This window comes from Homo sapiens, chromosome 8 (assembly GCF_000001405.40).
Source record: "Homo sapiens chromosome 8, GRCh38.p14 Primary Assembly".
NCBI lineage: Eukaryota > Metazoa > Chordata > Mammalia > Primates > Hominidae > Homo > Homo sapiens.
In genome coordinates this window covers 116,130,509-116,151,433 of record NC_000008.11, presented here as the reverse complement: position 1 = coordinate 116,151,433, position 20,925 = coordinate 116,130,509, and the positions used below count along the sequence as shown (strand labels likewise).

At 40.1% G+C, this 20,925-nt stretch overlaps 1 long non-coding RNA gene across 1 annotated transcript in view; it reads left to right on the top strand.

Annotated features, from left to right (window-relative positions):
- Positions 1–20,925, top strand: part of LINC00536 (long intergenic non-protein coding RNA 536) — a 374,549-nt gene that overhangs the window by 173,626 nt on the left and 179,998 nt on the right. The window lies entirely within an intron of this gene.

Below are 20,925 nucleotides of genomic sequence, written 5' to 3'. Positions count from 1 at the left end.
TTTGAGTCATTGGGTTGGGGAAGGCAGATCCACCCTTAATTTGGTGGGCACAATCTAATCAGCTGCCAGCAAATATAAAGCAGGCAGAAAAATGAGATGGTGTTGCAAAAATAGATTAACATTTGAGTCAGTGGGCTGGGGAAGGTAAATCCACCCTTAATCTGGTGGGCACAATCTAATCAGCTGCCAGCAAATATAAAGTAGGCAGAAAAATGTGAAAAGGAGAGATGGGCTTAGCCTCCCAGTCTACTTCTTTCTCCAGTGCTGGATGCTTCCTGCCCTCGAACATTGGACTCCAACTTCATCAGTTCTGGGGCTTGGACTAGCTCTCCTTGCTCCTCAGCTTGCAGACAGCCTACTGTGGGACCTTGTGATCATATAAGTTAATACTTAATAAACTCCCCTTTATATATAGATATATAAATATATCTATAGATTATACATATGTATTATATATATAAATATATCTCTCTTTTGAGTTCTGTCCCTCTAAGAGAACCCTGGATAATAAAGATTTTGGTACCAGGAGTGATTCTAGAGGAACAGAATACTAAGTATGGAGTTCTTTCATTGGTTTTGGGGTTTCTAGAGTTGGGTGCTTAATATGCTTAGATGCAAAAATCCTAAGGACTCTACTTCTAATAGTATGGAGAACACTGATTGTGCTTGGCGTGAACTGTTTAGAGAGTTATGCAAAATAAATGCATTTGACACTCCTGATTCACCACTTGTGAGAGGCAAGGAGTTTAGTGACTCTATAGATAATACCTTTGACCATATGTGGAGAACCAAGGAACATAATGAAACTGCTTGGTTGCTCCTAAGTTCAGTGGGCAAAGTGATGAAAGAAAATGATGAACCCAGGGATTCTGTCTTCCAGCTTCGGAAGCAGATACTGAGCCTCAAATCTGCTAAGATTGCCCTGAATGAGAGTCTTATCTCCTGTAGAGAAACAGCTGAAATTGTAGAAAATCAGACATAAGCTCTTGTCGTGCAAGTGGTTGACCTGCAATGAAAAGTGCATGCGCAGCCTCACCAGGTGTCTACTGTTAAAATGAAGGCATTGATTAGAAAAGAATGAGACCCTGAAACTTGGAATGGGGACACGTGGGAGGACCCTGATGCAGGGACACTGAGTTTGTAAACTCTGATGAACTTTTTTGCCAGAAGGAACAGCTTCCCCATCCCAGGAGGGGCAACATCCTCTCCCTGACCCATGCTGCCATCAGCCTTTCCACCTTTGTCTCAAGAGATAAACCCTTCACTGCCTAAGGCAACAGTGATGGCCTCCCCTGAAATGGTTCTCAGGCAAGATAATGTTAATTCCACTCAGAAGCCACCCCCAACATCTCTGTTTGCTTCTAGACCTATAACTAGGCTAAAGTCCCAGTGGGTCCCTAGAGGTGAGGTTGAGAGTGTGACCCATGAGGAGGTGCACTACACTCGAAAAGAACTGTTTGAGATCTCTAATTTATATAAACAGCAATCTGGAAAACAGACATGGGAATGGATATTAAGGGTAGGGGATAATGGTTGAAGGAACATAGAATTGGGTCAGGCTGAATTTATTTATTTGGGCCCACTATGTAGGGACTCTGCATTTAATATTGCAATTTGGGGAGTTAAAAAAAGGTTCTAATAGTTTATTTGCTCAGTTATCTGAAATATGGATTAAAAGATGGCCCACTGTGAGTGAGCTGGAAATGCCTGATCTCCCTTGGTTTAATGTAGGGGAAGGGATTCAAAGGCTTAGGGAAATTGGGATGGTAGAGTGGATTAGTCACTTTAGACCTACTCATCACAGCTGGGAGGTCCTTGACCAATGCCTTGTGAAATATATTTGTGAGGGCAGCACCTGCATCTTTGTAGAGCCCCATAATTGCTCTGTTCTATATGTCAGATCTAACAGTGGGAACCGCAGTCACTCAACTACAAAATTTAAATACAATGGGAATAATTGGATCTTGAGGTGGCAGGGACTAAGTGGCAGCACTCAACTGTCACAGGCAAGATGGGTGTAGCTACTGTAATGGACAGCAGAGGCAAAGTGGCAATCAGAATAGTCTGACTCGTGTAGAGCTCTGGCATTGGCTAATTAATCATGGTGTTCGTAGAAGTGAAATTGATAGGAAGCCTGCTGCATTCCTACTTAAATTATACAAACAGGAAGCTTCTAGGTTGAATGGACAAAAGCCTAACTTGAATTATAAAAACAGAATCATGGCCCCTCAATCAATTTCCAGACTTGAGTCTGTTTACAGACCCAGAACCGCTTGAATGAAGGAGAGGCTGGGTCCCCTTAAGGAAGGACCCTACTATGTTACCAACAATTTATGCAGTGAATCTTTCTCCCATCCTTCCCCAAGGAGATCTCCAGCCTTTTATCAGGGTAACTGTGCACTGGGGAAAGGGAAATGATCAGAAATTTTGGGAACTACTGGACACTGGCTCTTAGCTGATGTTGATTCCAGGGGACCCAAAATGTCACTGTGGTCCCCCAGTTAAACTAGGGGCTTATGGAGGTCAGGTAATTAATGGAGTTTTAGCTTAGGTCTGACTTACAGTGGGTCCAGTGTGTCCCCAGGCTCATCCTGTGGTCATTTCCCCAGTGCCAGAATGTATAATTGGCATAGACATACTTAGCAGCTGGCAGAACCCCCACATTGGCTCCCTGACTGATAGGGTGAGGGCTATTATGGTGGAAAAGGCCAAATGGAAGCCATTAGAGCTGCCTCTACCTAGAAAAATAGTAAATCAAAAATAATGTTACATCCTTAGAGGAATTGCAGAGATTAGTGCCATGATCAATGACTTGAAAGATGCAGGGGTGGTGATTCGCACCACATCCCCATTCAACTCTCCCATTTGGCCTGTGCAGAAGACAAATCGATCTTGGAGAACCAGTGGATTATCGTAAGCTAAACCAAGTGATGACTTCAGTTGCAGCTGCTATACCAGATGTGGTTTCATTGCTTGAGCAAAGTAACACATCTCCTGGTACCTAGTATGCAGCCATTGACTTGGCACCTGCCTTTTTCTCCATTCCTGTCCATAAAGCCCACCAGAAGCAATTTGCATTCAGCTGGCCAGGCCAGCAATATACCTTTACTGTCCTACCTCAGGGGTATATCAACTCTCTGGCTTTGTGTCATAATCTTATTCAGGGAAACCGTGATCGCTTTTGGCTTCCACAAGATATCACACTGGTTCATTACATTGATGACATTATGCTGATTTGATCCAGTGAGCAAGAAGTAGCAAACACACTGGACTTATTGGTGAGACATTTGCATGCCAGAGGATGGGAAATCAATCCAACTAAAATTCAGGGAACTTCTACCTCAGTAAAATTTCTAGGGGTCCAGTGGTGTGGGGCCTGTTGAGATATTTCTTCTAAGGTAAAGGAGAAGTTGCTGCATTTGGCCCCTCCTACAACCAAGAAAGAGGCACAATGCCTAGTGACCTGAAAGGCTGCCAGTTTTAAGTGGGGTTCAGAATAGGAGAAGGCTATGCAACAGGTCCAGGCTGCTATACAAGCTGCTCTGCCACTTGGGCCACATGACCCAGCAGATCCAATGGTGCTTGAGGTGTCAGAGGCAGATAGGGATGCAGGTACCCATAAGTGAATCACAGCAGAGGCCTCTAGGATTTTGGAGCAAGGCCCTGCCATCTTCTGCAAATAACTACTCTTTTTTTAAGAGACAGCTCTTGGCCTGTTACTGGGTTTTGGTGGAAATTGAACATTTGACTATGGGTCATCAAGTCACCATGCGACCTGAACTGCCTATCATAAACTGCGTGCTTTCTGACCCATGTAGCCATAAAGTGGGTCATGCACAGCAGCATTCCATCATCAAATGGAGGTGGTATATACATGATTGGGCTGAAGGCACAAGTAAGTTACATGAGGAAGTGGCTCAAATCCCCATGGTCTCCACTCCTTCTCTCCCCCAGCCTGCACCGATGGCCTCATGGGAAGTTCCCTATGATCAGTTGACAGAGGAAGAGAAGACTAGGGCCTGGTTCACAGATGGTTCTGCACGACATGCAGGCGCCACCCAAAAGTGGACAGCTGTAGCACTACAGCCCCTTTCTGGGACATCCCTGCAGGACAGCAGTGAAGAGAAATCTTCCCAATGGACAGAAATTTGAGCAGTGCACCTGGTTGTACACTTTGCATGGAAGGAGAAATGGTCAGATGTGCGATTATATACTGATTCATGGACTGTTAGCCAATGGTTTGGCTAGACAGTCAGGGACTTGGAAGAAGCATGACTGGAAAATTGGTGACAAAGAAATTTGGGGAAGAGGTATGTTGGATGGACCTCTCTGAGTGGTCAAAAAAATGTGAAGATATTTGTATCCCATGTGAGTGCTCACCAACAGGTGACCTCAGCAGAGGAACAGTTTAATAATCAAGTGGATAGGATGACCCACTCTGTACACACCACTCAGCCTCTTTCCCCAGCTATCCCTGTCATTTCCCAATGGGCCCCTGAACAAAGTGGCTGTGGTGGCAGGGATGGAGGTTAAGCATGGGCTCAACAATATGGACTTCCACTCACCAAGGCTGACCTGGCTATGGCCATTGCTGAGTGCCCAATTTGCCAGCAGCAGAGACCAACACTGAGCCCTCAATATGGCACCATTTCTCAGGGTGATCAGCCAGCTACCTGGTGGCAGGTTGATTATATTGGACCTCTTCCATCATGGAAAGGGCAGAGGTTTGTCCTCACTGTAATAGACACTTACTCCGGATATGGGTTTGCCTATCCTGAACACAATACTTCTGCCAAGACCACTGTCAATGGACCCATGGAGTGCCTTATCCACCGTCATGGTATTCCACACGGCATTGCCTCTGACCAAGGCACTCGCTTTACAGCTAAAGAAGTGCGACAGTGAGTGGGCTCATGCTCATGGAATTCACCAGTCTTACTATGTTCCCCATCATCCTGAAGCAGCTGGATTGATAGAAAGGTGGAATGGCCTTTTGAAGTCACAATTACAATGCCAACTAGGTGACAATACTTTGCAGGGCTGGGGTAAAGTTCTCCAGAAGGTTGTGTATGCTCTGAATCAGCATCCAATATATGGTACTATTTCTCCCATAGCCAGGATTCACAGGTCCAGGAATCGAGGTGTAGAAGCGAAAGTGGCACCACTCACCATCGCCCCTAGGGATCCATTAGCATACTTGCTTCCTGTTCCTGCGACATTACATTCTGCTGGCCTAGAGGTCTTAGTTCCAGAGGGAGGAATGCTGCCACCAGGAGACATAGCAATGATTCCATTAAACTGGAAGTTAAGATTGCCACCTTGACACTTTGGGCTCCTCCTACCTTTAAGCTAGGAAGGGAGTTACAGTGTTGACTGGGGTGATTGACCCGGACTATCAGATGAAATCAGTCTACTACTCCACAACGGAGGTAAGGAAGAGAATGCATGGAGATCTAATGGGGCATCTCTTAGTATTAACATGCCCTGTGATTAAGGTCCATAGAACACTACAACAGCCCAATCCAGGTAGGACTACAAATGACCCAGACCCTTCAGGAATGAACGTTTGAGTCCCTCCACTAGGAAAAATCCACGGCTTGCTGAAGGCAAAGGGGACACAGAATGGGTGGTAGAAGATGGTAGTCATCAATACCAGCCATGACCACGTGACCAGCTGCAGAAATGAGGACTGTAATTGCCGTATTTCCTCCTTTTTAAAAAAATGTTTGTGCATGTATACGCTCGTACTAAGAAAATATCATCATCTTATTTCCTTTCTCCTTTATCATGTGACATAAGATTTATTGCCTTCATATCAGCATTTAAGTATTGTTAACTTCATGTAATAGTATTTGGGTTGGGGATTAGTGCATTTCCAGTTGTATGCAGGATAGTTGTATTACATTAGGCATAATTATGACCTTATTATTGTCTTTATTTGAAAATTATGTATAATCTCAGGAGCTATATATGGGTTCAAGTTGACAAGGAGTGTATGTGTGTGGGTTAATACTGAGTGTCAACTTCATTGGATTGAAGGATACAAAATATCGATCCTGGGTGGGTCGGTGAGGGTGTTTCCAAAAGAGATTAACATTTGAATCAGTGGGCTGGGGAAGGCAGATACACCCTTAATCTGGTGGGCACAATCTAATCAGCTGCCAGCAAATATAAAGCAGGCAGAAAAACATGAAAAGGAGAGACTGGCCTAGCATCCTAGCCTACATCTTTCTCCAGTGCTGGATGCTTCCTGTCCTTGAACATCGGACTCCAAGTTCTTCAGTTTTGGGACTCAGGCTGGCTCTCCTTTCTCCCCAGCTTGCAGACAGCCTATTGTGGGACCTTGTGATTGTGTGAGTTAATAAGCTCCCATTATATATATGTACAGTTCTGTCCCGTATAGTTCTTAGTTCTGTCCATCTAAGAGAATCCTGACTAATACAGTGATCAACTTTGAGTTAGAGACCTTGCTCTTTTTTTCATGTCTAGAGAGTCTCTGTATACCTTTTGATTGTTTTCTTGCTTTGCTTTCTAACTCCACACACCCAGTGCAATCTAGGTGCCTATGACATCCAATATGTACTTTGTCATTATCCTCCTGTCCACTTTTTCTGTCTTAATTTATTTTTCTCTCCAGTTTATTCTACCAATCAAATGCATGCAAAGCTATGTAATGCACCTCCCTAAGAATACCTCTTTCCTGGTGCCTCTCCCTTTCTCGGGGCCCTTTAGTAACAGTTTCAACTTTAAACCCTTCAGCCAGATTGCTCTATAGACTTACTTGCATACTCTATTTTCTTACATAATATTAGTCTTAGCACTAATATTTACAGAAAAGACTTCTGAGTCTTTTTATTTTGTTAGGTACTGGGCTAAATACTTTAGCTACATTTTCTAATTTAATCCTTGCTACAATCAGATAGTAGACATTATGTCCATTTTTCATGCCAGAAAACTGAAATTCAGGTGCATTTGCATAGCTCACACAAGGCTAACAGTCATAGAGATAGAATTTATACCGAGGGCTTAACTAAAATCTGTGTTCTTTTTTTTTCTTTTGCCACAAATTTTGCATTCTTAGCTAACACTTTATAGTGCCTCCCACAGACCTTTGTCTTTGACCAAATGATTCTATTAAATTTCCTAAAGTATGCCTTAAAGTTTTCCATCAACATTCTTTTTTTTTCCACATCATTGTGCCTAGAATGCCATTCCTCCTGCCCAGTGAATTGTCATCTATTTTTCAAAGCCCATCACAAACCCTACTTCCTTTTCAAAAATTTCATCTCACTATCCACCTATCATAGAAGTGGTTATATCCAATCCAAATTCCTACATATATTAATACTATTCAATTTGTTAATTAGTTTTCTACTGCCCTATGTCAGATTTACTTGGCCCTATGGTAGTATTGATACTTTTTTGTTTGAATTTATTTTTTGCCTGCTCTTATGTTGTAGTATTTCTCCAACCATATTGTCAGTAGCTTTGTCTTTCTACAGTTTCTTACACATAGTAAGAGATAGATAAATATTTGCTGATTTGATTATTTAAGAAATTCAGTTAGATTGGTTGTCCAAACTGGTTGTTCTGACTGTACTGATTAAGTCAGCCATGGTGAGGAAGTTGGTTGTTTATACAAACAATGCCATGGCTATATTGTGATTTTGGATGCAATTTAAACATTCATCTAACAGAAAAAAATATATATTGAGTAATAAAATTGGGGGCATAAAGATTAATTCTAAAATTCAAATATTATGATAATATCATGTTTGTTACAAGTTGTTAAAAGAAAAACTTAGACAAATTAAATTTAACAAAGTTTAATTGAGCAAAGAACGATTCTTGAATGGGGCAGCCTCCCAAGCAAGAGTCAGCTCAGAGAAACTCCAGCACAGGCATGTTGTAGAAGATTTATGGACAGAAAAAGTGACATACAGAAAATGGAAGTGAGGTACAGAAACAGTCAAATTGGTTAGAGCTTGGCATTTGCCTGATTTGAACATGGTTTGAAGAGTTGGCTGCCTTTCATTGGCTGAAACTTGGTGACTGGCACAAGTGCGGGTTAATCTGTTTACAAATCCAGTGAGAATTCAGTTTACCATTTATAAAGAAACCTTTAGGGCAAATTTAAAATATGTAAGGAGCCAACTTTAGGTTAAATTTGGTTGAACAAAATCAATAAGTATACATATATAAAGGCTTCAAAAAATCTGTGAAGATAAAAATCAACAAATATTAAACAGTAATTGGTAGATCAAAGAGTAATTATCTCTGCATTGCTCTTGGACTGTTTTTAATATGTGATTTACATTAAATCCAAATTGCAAGACACGAGATGACACCTTCCCCCACTTCATCCCCAACACACTCAGCTATTAAATCTCTATCTCACTGTCACTTAAAATCATGGGACGTTATTATTGGAAGATTCCATTATAGACTCTGAGTCCAATCTGTTGCTCATTGGAGAAAATGTCTAGGAAACGTCCTTGCCATGCTGTGATTCTGTCATTCTGTCATTCAGCTTCTCTCTGAACACCTCTGGGAACAGGCAGCTCTGTGCTAAGTTAGCCCTGACAATTGTTAGGCATTTGTCATTGTTAAACCAGCTCTTTCTGAAAATAAGCCTCGGTCATCCTCTGTATAACGTTTCCCCATTTCTTTTAATTCTAAATTACAAGGTTTCATAATATATTAGCTAAAATCAAACAAACCTCAATTTTTCCCAATACAGTTCCTTTAATTATTTGAAGAAATCTCCCCTGCCTCTTCCTAATATCTCTAATCCAGACCCCTTTCCCTAGCCCAGCAAAAAAATCTCTAGTTCTTTGAGCCAGCAGTCCTTTGACTTAGTCTCCAGATGTCTCACTATCCTGGCCTTTCTCATTTGGATATTCTCCTCATCCTGAGACTACAATAAGCCAGATGTGGCCTGAGGAGGGCAGAAACCCTGAAATCATAACTTCTCTTGCATTAGAAATGTTATTTCTGTCATTGCAGCCTAAGTTTGCATTAGCTTTTACAACAGTAGCATTATACTCATGGGTTCTGCTGAACTTGTGGTCTAAAGCCCCAGGCCTTTTTTTTTTTCCCCTAGGAAGCACATTTAAGCCATGTATCTCTCATCCTGTCCTTATGTAATTAATTTTTTTTTTGAAACTGTGCAAAGCTTTTTCCTTTATGCTTTTGTGCCTTTTATCGTGTTGGACTCCAGAAGTGCATGGTGGGACAACGGGAGAAAACCACAAGATTCTTGGCTGCTCTGAATGCTGAGAATCTGGAATGGCTTTGGTGAATTACAATAGGAGTTCTACTCAATAAACCCAAAACCCTATGGATATTAAAAACATAAAAACAAGCAAACTGAAAAAAACTCCAAAAGCCACTTGCTGGTGAGAACTGCATTTTACCTTCCTTAATACTAAAATTGGAAGATGAGGAGGGAAAATACCTAAATCCTTGGTAGTTGAGGCCTCCGACTAGGACAGTTTTTCAGTCTTCTGAAAGTTTTTGCCTTCATTCCAGCCTTTCAGTTAGTAGGAGACCTAGTAGATGGGAACATATTTAAAATATGCAGAGTTTTTTCTGGGTTTCTCCTTCCCTGAGCCAATTATCACTTGTTCAACAGCTTTCCCTTTCCTCCATTAGCACATAAGTTACCTTTTGCCTCCAAACCATCTGGAACTCAAATGACTTTCAACTACCTGAACTCTCAAAGCACTTGTTGTTTCCCAGAAACCATTCTCTTCCGACTGGGGAAAATAGTGGGGAGCAGGGGAGACAAAACACATCTCTATTCCGAAAGACCAGGCCAGATCATTGATAAAAGCAGCCTTTTTCTTAACAATTATGTGGCGCTTCATACCCACAGCGTCTTATCTTTCCCTCCGTTTCTCTTTCTTCTGTTGATGACTTTTTAGATTTGCTTTTTCTTTGGGGACTGCAGCAGATGCTGTTGGTACCTGTATTTGTTTGCTAGGATTGCCATAACAAATGCTACAGACTATGTGGTGGAAGCAACAGAAATTTGTTTTCTCATCATTCTGCAGGCTAGAAATCCAAAATCAATGTGTCAACAGGGTTGGTTTCTTCTGAGGCTTTTCTCCTTGGCTTGTGTATTAGTTCGTTTTCACGCTGCTGATGAAGACATACCTGAGACTGGGTAATTTTTAAAGAAAAAGATGTTTAATGGACTCAGTTCCACGTGGCTGAGGAGGCCTCAAAATCATGGCAGAAGGTAAGGAAAGAATGTGCCTACATCTTACATGGCAGCAGGCAAGAGAGAATGAAAACCAAGTGAAAGAGGAAACCCCTTATAAAACCATCAGGTTGGCAGTGCACGGTGGCTCACGTTTGTAATCCCAGCACTTTGGGAGGCCAAGGTGGGCGGATCACCTGAGGTCGGGAGTTCAAGACCAGCCTGACAACATGGCGAAACCCCATCTCTACTAAAAATACAACAATTAGCCATTGTGGTGGCACATGCCTATAATCCCAGGTACTTGGGAGGTTGAGGCAGGAGAATCACTTGAACCCGGGAGGCGGAGGTTGCAGTGAGCCGAGATTGCTCCACTGCACTCCAGCCTGGGCAACAGAGCGAGACTCCATCTCAAAACAAAAACAAAACCATCAGATCTTGTGAGACTTACTACCATGAGAACAGTATGGGAGAAACTACCCCATGATTCAATTATCTCCCACTGTGTCTCTCCCACAACACAAGGGAATTATGGGAGCTACAATTCAAGACAAGATTTGGGTGGGGACACAGCCAAACCATATAATCTTGTAGGTAGCCACCTTCTCCCTCTATCTTCACATGGTTGTTCCTAGGTGTTTTTCTATGTCTTAATTTCCCTTCATGTAAGGACATCAATCATAATGAATCAAGGCCCACCTTAATGACCTTATTTTACCTTGATTATTGCTTTGAAGACCATATCTCCAAATACAGTCACATTCTGAGGAATTGGAGATTAGAATTCCAACATATGAACCTTGTAGGGGACACAATTCAGTGCATAACAGTACCCCCAACCAGATGCACTTCTCTGGACTTAAGCACTATTTCCTAGCTTCTTTAAGCTTCAGCTTCTGCTGCTAACTGATCACAGCTTCTTCCAGCATCCTTCTCTGAAGAATGCACTTGGTTGACAGGAGCTGCCTAGCATGAAAATGTCAGGAAAGTTGAGAATGCCTCTCTCAACTCTGCCACAGTCAATTTTGTCAGATGGCGGGGAGAAGGGAGGTTGCAGGGGGTGCAGTAACTTTTGTAGTAGAATTCCTGCCCCAGAGCCCCCCCTGGGATCAGAATGAGGCTAGACTTCTCCTGTAACCATCTCTGCCTATCTTTTTTTTTTTTTTGAGATGGAGTCTCACTCTGTCACCCAGGCTGGAGTGCAGTGGTGCGATCTCGGCTCATTGCAACCTCCGCCCCCCTGGGTTCAAGCCACTCTCCTGCCTCAGCCTCTCAAGTAGCTGGGATTACAAGCGTCTGCCACTGTGCCTGGCTAATTTTTCTATTTTTAGTAGAGACGGGGTTTCACCATGTTGATGGTCTCAATCTCTTGACCTCGTGATCCACCTGCCTTGGCCTCCCAAAGTGCTGGGATTACAGGCATGAGCCACTGCGCCCGGCCTCTGCCTATCTTTAATCTCATGTCTATCCAGATTTTTTCATTATCTTGCAGGTTCTCCTGAGAACACTTCCATTTTACATTATTTGCATACAAATCTCCATTGCAGGTTCTGCTTCTTGGGAAAACAAAGGCAGACTCCTGCTTTGGTATTATAGCACTTGTTTAAAAATTAAGCACTGCAAAAGAGCATTCAATTTAATTCAGCAAACATTTACTAAGGATGATCTACAAGGCTGAATTTATTCATTAGATGAGAAGCTTCTTGAGGGCAAGGATGAGGTATAATTGACTCTTTTTCTCTAGTGGCTAGCACAGTGCCAATCTCAATATACGTATTTATTGAACAGTGTTCTGTTGTGAAGGCATTATGATGAACATGATGCAGCCTCAACAGCAAACAAGTATACAATTTTCTTGGGAAAAACAAACATGCTCCAACTCATAACAAATCAAGCTTGAATCTGGAAAGTGCATAAAAAGCAATATGCCAAGTGCTATGGTGGCATGGAGGATCAAAAGCATACTTTCAATTAGAGGAAGATTTCATGAATCTGAATGAAATACACATGTGATCTTAATAGAGAAGAGAAAATAATATTGCTAGCAGCTATTAAATGACTGGTACATGCTAGACACTGTGTAAATTTCTTTGTAAGTATTATATTTAATATTTGTGGAATATCTATGGTATAGAGATTATTATTAGCTCTATCCTACAAAAATATGTCTTGAGACATTAAGTAATGTCTCCTAGCTGGGAAGTAGTGCAGCACAGATTTAAACATATTCCTTTGGGGAAGGATATTGCAGGAAGGAAGAATATGATGAGCACAGATAAAGATTCAGAAAAGAAGTCTACCAATATGAGCTCAAGTGGATGCGATAGGTAAAAAGCCTGAAAAGAGAAATTGGGACCAGGTTATGAGAGACTTGGAATACTATGCTAAAAAATTGGACTTTATTTTATAAACCATGGGGAGCATCCAGAAGATATTTAATTGGAAAGTTGGCTGATAATACTTGTGTCTTAAGAAAATTACTCCAAAAGAAGGAGAGAAAATGAACAAGTACTTTAGCTTGTTCAAAGGAATATGGGTAAATCAGTACATTTAAATGTATGTATATTCCTTACGAACTCTTTTCTACCTAGATTTTACTGTGACTGACCCAATATATCTTACATTTACAAGAGATTTTTTAGGAGACTTGATTTCCCATAACTTTAATATTGTGACACTCCTTATTTGACTTTACTATCTGTGCTACTTTTTCCCTGCCATCCTTGAAATTTTACCTATTCATTTATTTTGGTAAATAGTATAAACCTATCTTAAAAAATGGCAAATGAGAAGTATGTTTCATGACACCAAGCAAAACATCTTACAGATTCTCTTCCCCTATGTCCATGGAAAGCTCATTCTAAGTATCCTGCCAATTATCCCTAGTTTCTCATTTTATCCTTGCAAACTGCCCCAAATCTCTACACACTCTGTTTCTCGGTCCTTTCCTCCCACCTTTCAACCTTTTCAATCTAGTGTTTTCAGAGCCAGTGGTACTCCAGCACTTCTAAAGCAAAAAAAAAAAACCCTAATCTTTCTTGGCTCTTTCTGTTTTTCTCCCCATTTGTTATCTAAAATCGAGGAGAAATCTGAGGATAAAGAAGACAATAATTTATCATCTTTGTCTCTCTATCTCTTTCTCTCTCTAATTTATGTGTACTTATTTTGTAATAACTATCGAACTATTTGCAGCCCACCACTCCTTTTCAGTTAAATGGGTCCTGGCAATTGGAGAGACCTGCTTTTGCACTGGGGCGCAGTGGCTGTTGAGCTTCACATGATCAAGGGATGAAAGTCTGAACAAGACCGTAACTATTTGTTTTTTATTTTTATTTTACTCCTCGTAAAGGCTTCTCCATAGATGCAGTCACTTAGGACCACCACATTCTTGAATTGCTTGTTTTAGAAATTAAAGGTTACTGTTAATTCAAAAGGAACTAAAAAAATCCTGAAGTTTAATGACTGCCATTAGTACCTCCAAAGGAAGATTCTGCTTTCTTTTTCCATGTATGGGGATGGTTTACTGCATCTCCGGTGGTCATCAGATTGTCAGTGACCATGGTAAAACTTCCAGTTTTCCCAGCTGGGAAGGCTTAAAGAAATTGTGATAAGGCAGCCGCCCCTCATATTTCTGTGAAGAGCAGGCATTAAGGAAGGTTTTTATTTAGTTTCTGTGCCTTGCATTGTTTAGCCAGCCACCTGATGTTTCTGTCATGTTGCAAATCTGGAAAATTACTATTTGCTGAAATTTTTCACTGCTTCGATTTATGCAGAGACATAAGACAGTTTCCTGAGTCTGGAGTATTTCTGATTACAAGAAAGAGAATCTGACTATGTTTGATTTCAAGTCCATTCAGTCACATTTTTAAACTGCCAATTTTTTTTTAAAGCTTTGTCACTTAATGTATTGACCCCACTTCATGAGTTAGGAAAAGAAATAATATAACAATGATCATTTATTTCTCATGTGGAGAAATTGAGTCTGATAATCCAAGTGGTCTTTTTGAAGCTACAGAAGAAAGTACAGACTTTGGAAGATAATCATGGATTAGAAAAAGCTGTAAAGAAGGATTTTGTGCATATTTGTTGCTTTATAACTAATTCAGCCTTAAGAATGATTTTTCTGATTTAGACAACTCTCCTTTGACTACGTTAACCTAACTATTCTACATGCAGCCCATTTTATAGTGGACCAAATGAGCAAAACTCTCTACCTTTGGTTCTTTTCCTTTGTAGCTCCCACAGTACATTGTTACTATTTCGGTTTAATCATGACCACACAACTTGAATTTACTGGTAGGGTTGCCAAATAAAATGCAGGACATTCTGCTGAATTTAAATTTCAGATAAGCCATGAATAAATTTAGTAAAAGTATGTCCCAAAAATGTCATGGGAGATACTTATACCAAAAATTATTCATATTTTATCTGAAATTCAAATTTAACTGAGTGTTCTGTATTTTTATTTGCGAAATATGGCAACCATATTTACTGGGAGAGTGATAATTTCATGTAATTTTGTTCTACTCAATAAATTCAGCTGCATACATTTAGCTGTTTTGTAAGTTTTTGTACAAATTTAAAAATTAGGAAAAAGTCTTATTTTAGACTATATATTCCAATTTGTGATTTTGATTAAACAGCCAGTATAATTAAAGTTCTTTTTAAAAATACATGGCGATTATCTATTTACCTGTTGTGTTCTCTATCTGTTGATGAAATAAAAAATGGAAATCTCACTCATTTTTGTACTATATTATATTGGTACGTAGGATGAGCTTGATAAATTGTTTAATAGACTGCATAATTACCAAATGGTAGGTTGGCACAGCAACAAAAGTGTGTGTATGTGCATGTGTGTATGTGTGCATGTCAAAAGTGTCTAGCGTTTTTGAATGCTAACTTTGCATCAGCACTCTGCTAAGAGCACAGTGCCAAAACCTTAGTTCTTATTACCTTTTTATGGAACAGCCTTTCATTAAAGGATGTTTTAAAACCAATCAAAGGCCATATCTGAGAGTGTATCAATCAATATATGAGTCAGCTAGATACTACATCCTCCCTTTGTTCTTCTTCTTCTTCTTTTTTTTTTTTTTTTTACTTTTTTTATTATACTTTTAGTTCTAGGGTACATGTGCACAATATGCAGGTTTGATACATAGGTATACATGTGCCATGTTGGTTTGCTGCACCTATCAACTCATCATTTACATTGGGTATTTCTCCTAATGCTATCCCTCCGCCAGTCCCCCACCCCACAGCAGGCCCTGGTGTGTGATGTTCCCCGCCCTATGTCCAAGTGATCTCATTGTTCAATTCCCACCTATAAGTGAGGACATGCGGTGTTTGGTTTTCTGTCCTTGTGAAAGTTTGCTGAGAATGATGGTTTCCAGCTTCATCCATGTCCCTGCAAAGGACATGAACTCATCCTTTTTTATGGCTGCATAGTATTCCATGGTATATATGTGCCACATTTTCTTAATCCAGTCTATCATTGATGGACATTTGGGTTGGTTCCAAGTCTTTGGTATTGTGAATAGTGCTGCAATAAACATACGTGTGCATGTGTCTTTATAGTAGCATGATTTGTTGTTCTTATTTATTTATTTTTGAGACAGAGTCTTGCTTTGTCACCCAGGCTGGTGTGCAGTGGTGCAATCTCAGCTCACTGCAACCTCCGCCTCCCGGGTTCAAGTGATTCTCCTGCCTCACCCTTCCGAGTAGCTGGGGCTGCAGGTGTGCACCAACATGCCCAGCTAATTTTTGTATTTTTAGTAGAGATGGGTTTTCACCATGTTGGCCAGGCTGGTCTCGAACTCCTGACCTCAAGTGATCTGCCCGCCTTGGCCTCCCAAAGTGTTGGGATTATAGGCATGAGCCACCGTGCCCTGCCTACATTCTCCCTTTAGAGAGGCTCTAAAATAAAATGTCTTAGTAAAAATTACTCATATATTTCATGTGCTTTCCTCATATCTCTGTTACCAAATCTTCATTCCTGAAAGTTAGTATGTAACCTAGTTAGCCAAAATAGTGACAACCATGGCACCCACCACATACGTTCTTTTAGAATCTTGTCTTCCTCGACCAAGAGGCAGAGCCTGTGTCCCTTCTTTCAACCTGTGCAGGCCTTGACTAACAAAGTATAACTTAAATGACAGTTTATGATTTTCTACGAAAATGTTCTACTTTGCTCTTTTGACACTCCTGCTCTTAGAACCTGGCCAGATACTATGCTGTGAGTAAGCCCATTCAGCCTGTGGAGATGCCTGCATGGAAACGAACTTCTGTCCTTGGACCCTTGCCCTGTTTTAACTGCCAGCTAGCTGACAGCCAGCCCTAACTTTCCAGTCATGCAAGGGAGTCATCTTATAATTGGATTCTCTAGTTGAGTCCTCCCAGCTGAAACCATGTAGAGCAGAGATGCACCCTGTCCAAACTGTAGATTCATGAGGAGAATAAAAAATTATTGTTGTTTTAAGTCACTTTGCAGTGGTTTGTCATTGTAGCAATAGATGACTAATAAAGATTTTGGTACCTGGAAGTGGGGTGTTGCTGTAACAAAACCTAAAACATATGGCATTAACTTCAAGACCAGGTAAAAGGCAGGGGCTTCAAGAGCCTTCAACAGATTGTTAGTGAAGGGGGTCCTTGAGTAGAGAGTTAGCAGGAGCCTAACTGGCCTCAAGGAGACTGACAATGAGGAGACTAACTTAAAAGAAGTTAGAAAAAAGGAGTGTGTAGTGACACAAACTTTGGCAGCTCTGTAGTCTGGGGAAACTTGGAAAACAGGAAATGAACTCAATCATGTAATGATTTCCAGACAAAATATAGTAAGTATCACCTGGCTTCATCTCACTGCCTGTGATAAAATGCAAAAGAGAGAGAAATGAGCTAAAGAATACACTGTTAAATAGAAAGGATCCAGGACTTGATGAGTTTAATAATAAAACTGTTTCTCATTCTTGGCCTCTCCAGACAGAAAGTTCTAAATTAAAAGGCAAAAGATTTATATGATCTGAAGATAAACCAGAGTATAGCAAGTTCTAAATTGAAAAGGACCTTCAGGTCCAATATCAAATCCAGGATAGGACTGTACAATTCTTTGATAAGACCTCACAAAAATCTAAGACCCTGCCTCCTAGACCCTTTAAGAGAGAAAGCAGATTCCTTAGGGACCTGAAGGGTGTGCTTTACAAATCATCCCTGTAACCTAGGAGGGCTTCTAAGAATCTGAGGGTGTTTGCCCACAAGGGCAAGAGCACTGAGTAGAGAAAGAGCTAACTAAACAATATTTTTGGATTTATGGCTCTGACTTTAGTCTAATGGAATAGGTTCATAAATTGATACATAAGCATCCCACAACATTTCTAAAAGAATTATATGAGCTTGTTCTGAAAACCACTGAACAATATAAAATGAGAAAAGGTCTTTGGCAGTGAAATTTTTACATGCAGAGGACAGGCAGAAGAAACTACTCAGCTGCAAATACAGGCAACTTTTTATAGATATATGACTCAAATAAACAGCCAAGATATCAGAGGGTGTAGCCAAGAGGTATGAACTCCCAAGGAGTAGGAATGGGCTTTAATCAAGGAACTGATAACACATAAGGGGCTGGATGTCAGAACTGCAATGAACCCATATCTGCAATCCACCTTTTGTTTTCACAGTTCAAATGGGGGTGTCTATAGATGTTAGCCTATGCCTGCCTCACCATCATATATGGGGCGTGGAAAGGGCCAACAAAGTGGCTCTTTAGTTTGCAGGTCTTTGTATTGAGAATAATGATGCTTAAGAAACTGTACCCAAGGCTGCACCTGAGGAGCTTCATCCACATCTGGATCTGATTTAACTCCTGACATCCTGGACCTCTTGCCTGAACCCAAAGCCCTAGTAAAATGAGGCTTTGGGGGATTCTTAAAGAAATAGGTGAGTGTGAGAAAGCTGTAAATTGTGGATAAACAGAGGGCTGTGGAATATTGTATTTCCCAGAGGTAGCCACAACCTCCCTTGTTTCATGTGGTGTTTTAGAACTTCAGCACTCCATCATCAAATTATCCAAGATGAGCCTATGGCCCCTCCCTTTGAGCTTGGACAGGACTTTATGATTGACTTGACCAATGAAGTATAAAGAAATTTGCCCTATGCAATTTCTGAGGGTAGGTTATAAAAGTGTCCTGCTTCTTGGGATGCTCATTCCAGACACAGCCACAATGCTATGCAGAAACCCATGTAATCCATACAGGAAAGTGCTTCCGCCAGCTCCCAGGGCTTCCCAGTTAATACTGAATGGACCCAAAACAAATAGATTTCACTGAGCCCTGCCCAATTTGCAAGTTCATGATAAGTAAATACATAAATAAATAAATAATAAATACATTTAAGATTTTGTTTTAAGTCACTAAATTCTGGGATGGTTATGCCCCAATAGAAAACTGATACACCATATTACAATGATGAAATAGTCTGGGTGTTTTCAAGGTTTCTATAGCAACATATTTACCAACCAACTTTTCGAATGAATGAGGTCTGTTTGCATTTGGAAAATGTTATGTATCCATATTTTAAATTATTTTAATTTTTTATCAAGTACTACACATGAAATCTTTAAAAAGTCAGTGACAAAAGGATTTTAATACAGATTAATGTTTACTGCCCCCTCCTTCACATGTCATTTCACTTCTCAGTTCAATCTCTTTCAACTCTTTGAGTTATTTCTCCTGATATCGGCCACCATATTTCTAAATAATATTCATGAACTACTATTTCTTGGCTCATGAATTTTAGTTATTAATAAATTTCTTCATCTTTAGGTTAATGGAGGATTTTACCTTTGTGTTAATGGAGGATTTCTGATACTCTAAGATTTTACAATGATTTGCTTACATTAATCACTTTTTTCCAATCAGTCTCATCCTCCCAATAAAATCATATAACAATTTTGCTTTAATACATATTCAATGTATACATCAATTACAACGTGGCAAATATTCAATGTCAAGCCAAGTAGAGTACTACAAGTACACATTGTATTTGGAAAGGAATTAATAAAACTGCTCCTTTTTCAGTTTCTTAACTTTTTTAAAATATCCGACAAAATCTACATACTCCAATAAATCTGTTAGATGCTTCACAATACAGGTTTTCACAATTTGTTTGTGAAAATTGGCTACACCCTTTGGGATCTTGGCTGTTTATTTTAGTCATATATTCTTTTCTATAAAAAGTGGCTTGTGTTTGCAGCTGAGTAGTTTTCTTTTTGTATGTGTTTGTGTGTCTCGTGTGTGTGTCTGGGGGATAGGATTTTTGCTGCTGTAGTGTTTAACAAGCAATGAATGATGAATGACAAGGAAGAATATGTCTCAAGTTTGGAATGGTGTTTTTTGGAAGAAAACTTATAGGCAGAAGCAGAAGTGAATTATGGTTCCTCTGTTGGCCACGGCCTTCTGAAACAGTGCACCAAGATGTGTTATGGCCAGATATCAGACTTCCAGAGAGGGAAACTGGCCTTTGAATTACAGTGAGTTGTAGTTGAGTTGAATTATAGAGGAAACATGATTAGGGAACCATCAGCCCCTCCCCTGCTATGTTAAGGTACAATGGTCCAAGCCTTGTGGTTGCAGCTATATGACACAGTGAAGCAGTTGCTTTCAGCTGTCATCTGCCATCCTACAGTCTACTAGTATAGTATTTAGCCATACCAAATTTTCACGGAGCGAGTTTAGGTGTCTAAATGCTCCCATTCTGTAGGATGACAACTTTTTCTCTTGTCACCACCTTGCAGGGAATCTGTCTTTCACAATCTATTCCTTATTTCTCCCCTTGAAACTTCCTTCCTAATATGAAATGGTTCTATTTTAGATCTTCTGCACAGCTCACTCTCTCAGACTCACCGCTGACATTACCTTGGGAATCAACTTATCTACTCCCTGGGTTGGGAGTCACTGTTTCCTAGATCCCGTGTTCTTCTCTTTTTTGGACAACTCCCTCATTTTGGTGGAATATATCCTACAGTAGCTGCTCACAAAAGTTTACACGGGAGGAATTTTTTTTGATCCTTTATGCATTTGAAATTGTCATTTTTCTACCCTTGCCTGATGGACTGAATGACTAGAGCATTTTAGGTTGAATTTCATGTCATTAGGAAGTTTTTAATACATTATCATATTCTATTTGTCAAGATTGCCCTTGAGAATACTGATATCAATTGGATTCCCTAGGATCTGTGACTAATTTTTTTAATCCCTAGGGATGTTTAGGATATATATTTTTACCATTTCTGATACTTTAAGACTTTACAATGATTTGCCGTTGTTTTTCTCACTTATTAGTCTGGATGTTCAGTAGAAGGGTTATGCCCTTCAGCATCAAAAAATTTTTTTATATTATTGCTTTGAAAATTCCCTGTTTCTTATCACCACCATTTTATCTTTTGTGTGAGATCCTATTTATTGGGTGTTGCATCTCCTGGACAGGAGCTTCTAATTTAATTATTTTCTTTTTTTTATCATCCACCTTCTGTTTATTGTTCTACTTCTGAGAGAATTCTTGATTTAGCATTCAACCAGTTCTATTGAATTACTAATTTCAGCTATCACACTTTCAAGTTTCAAGTATTTCTTCTTTTTCTACAATAGTTTCTTTTTGGATGCCATAATATTCTTGTTTCCTTGATGCAGCATTTTTTTTTTCTCTATTGGAGATCATTAATTCTATAATTT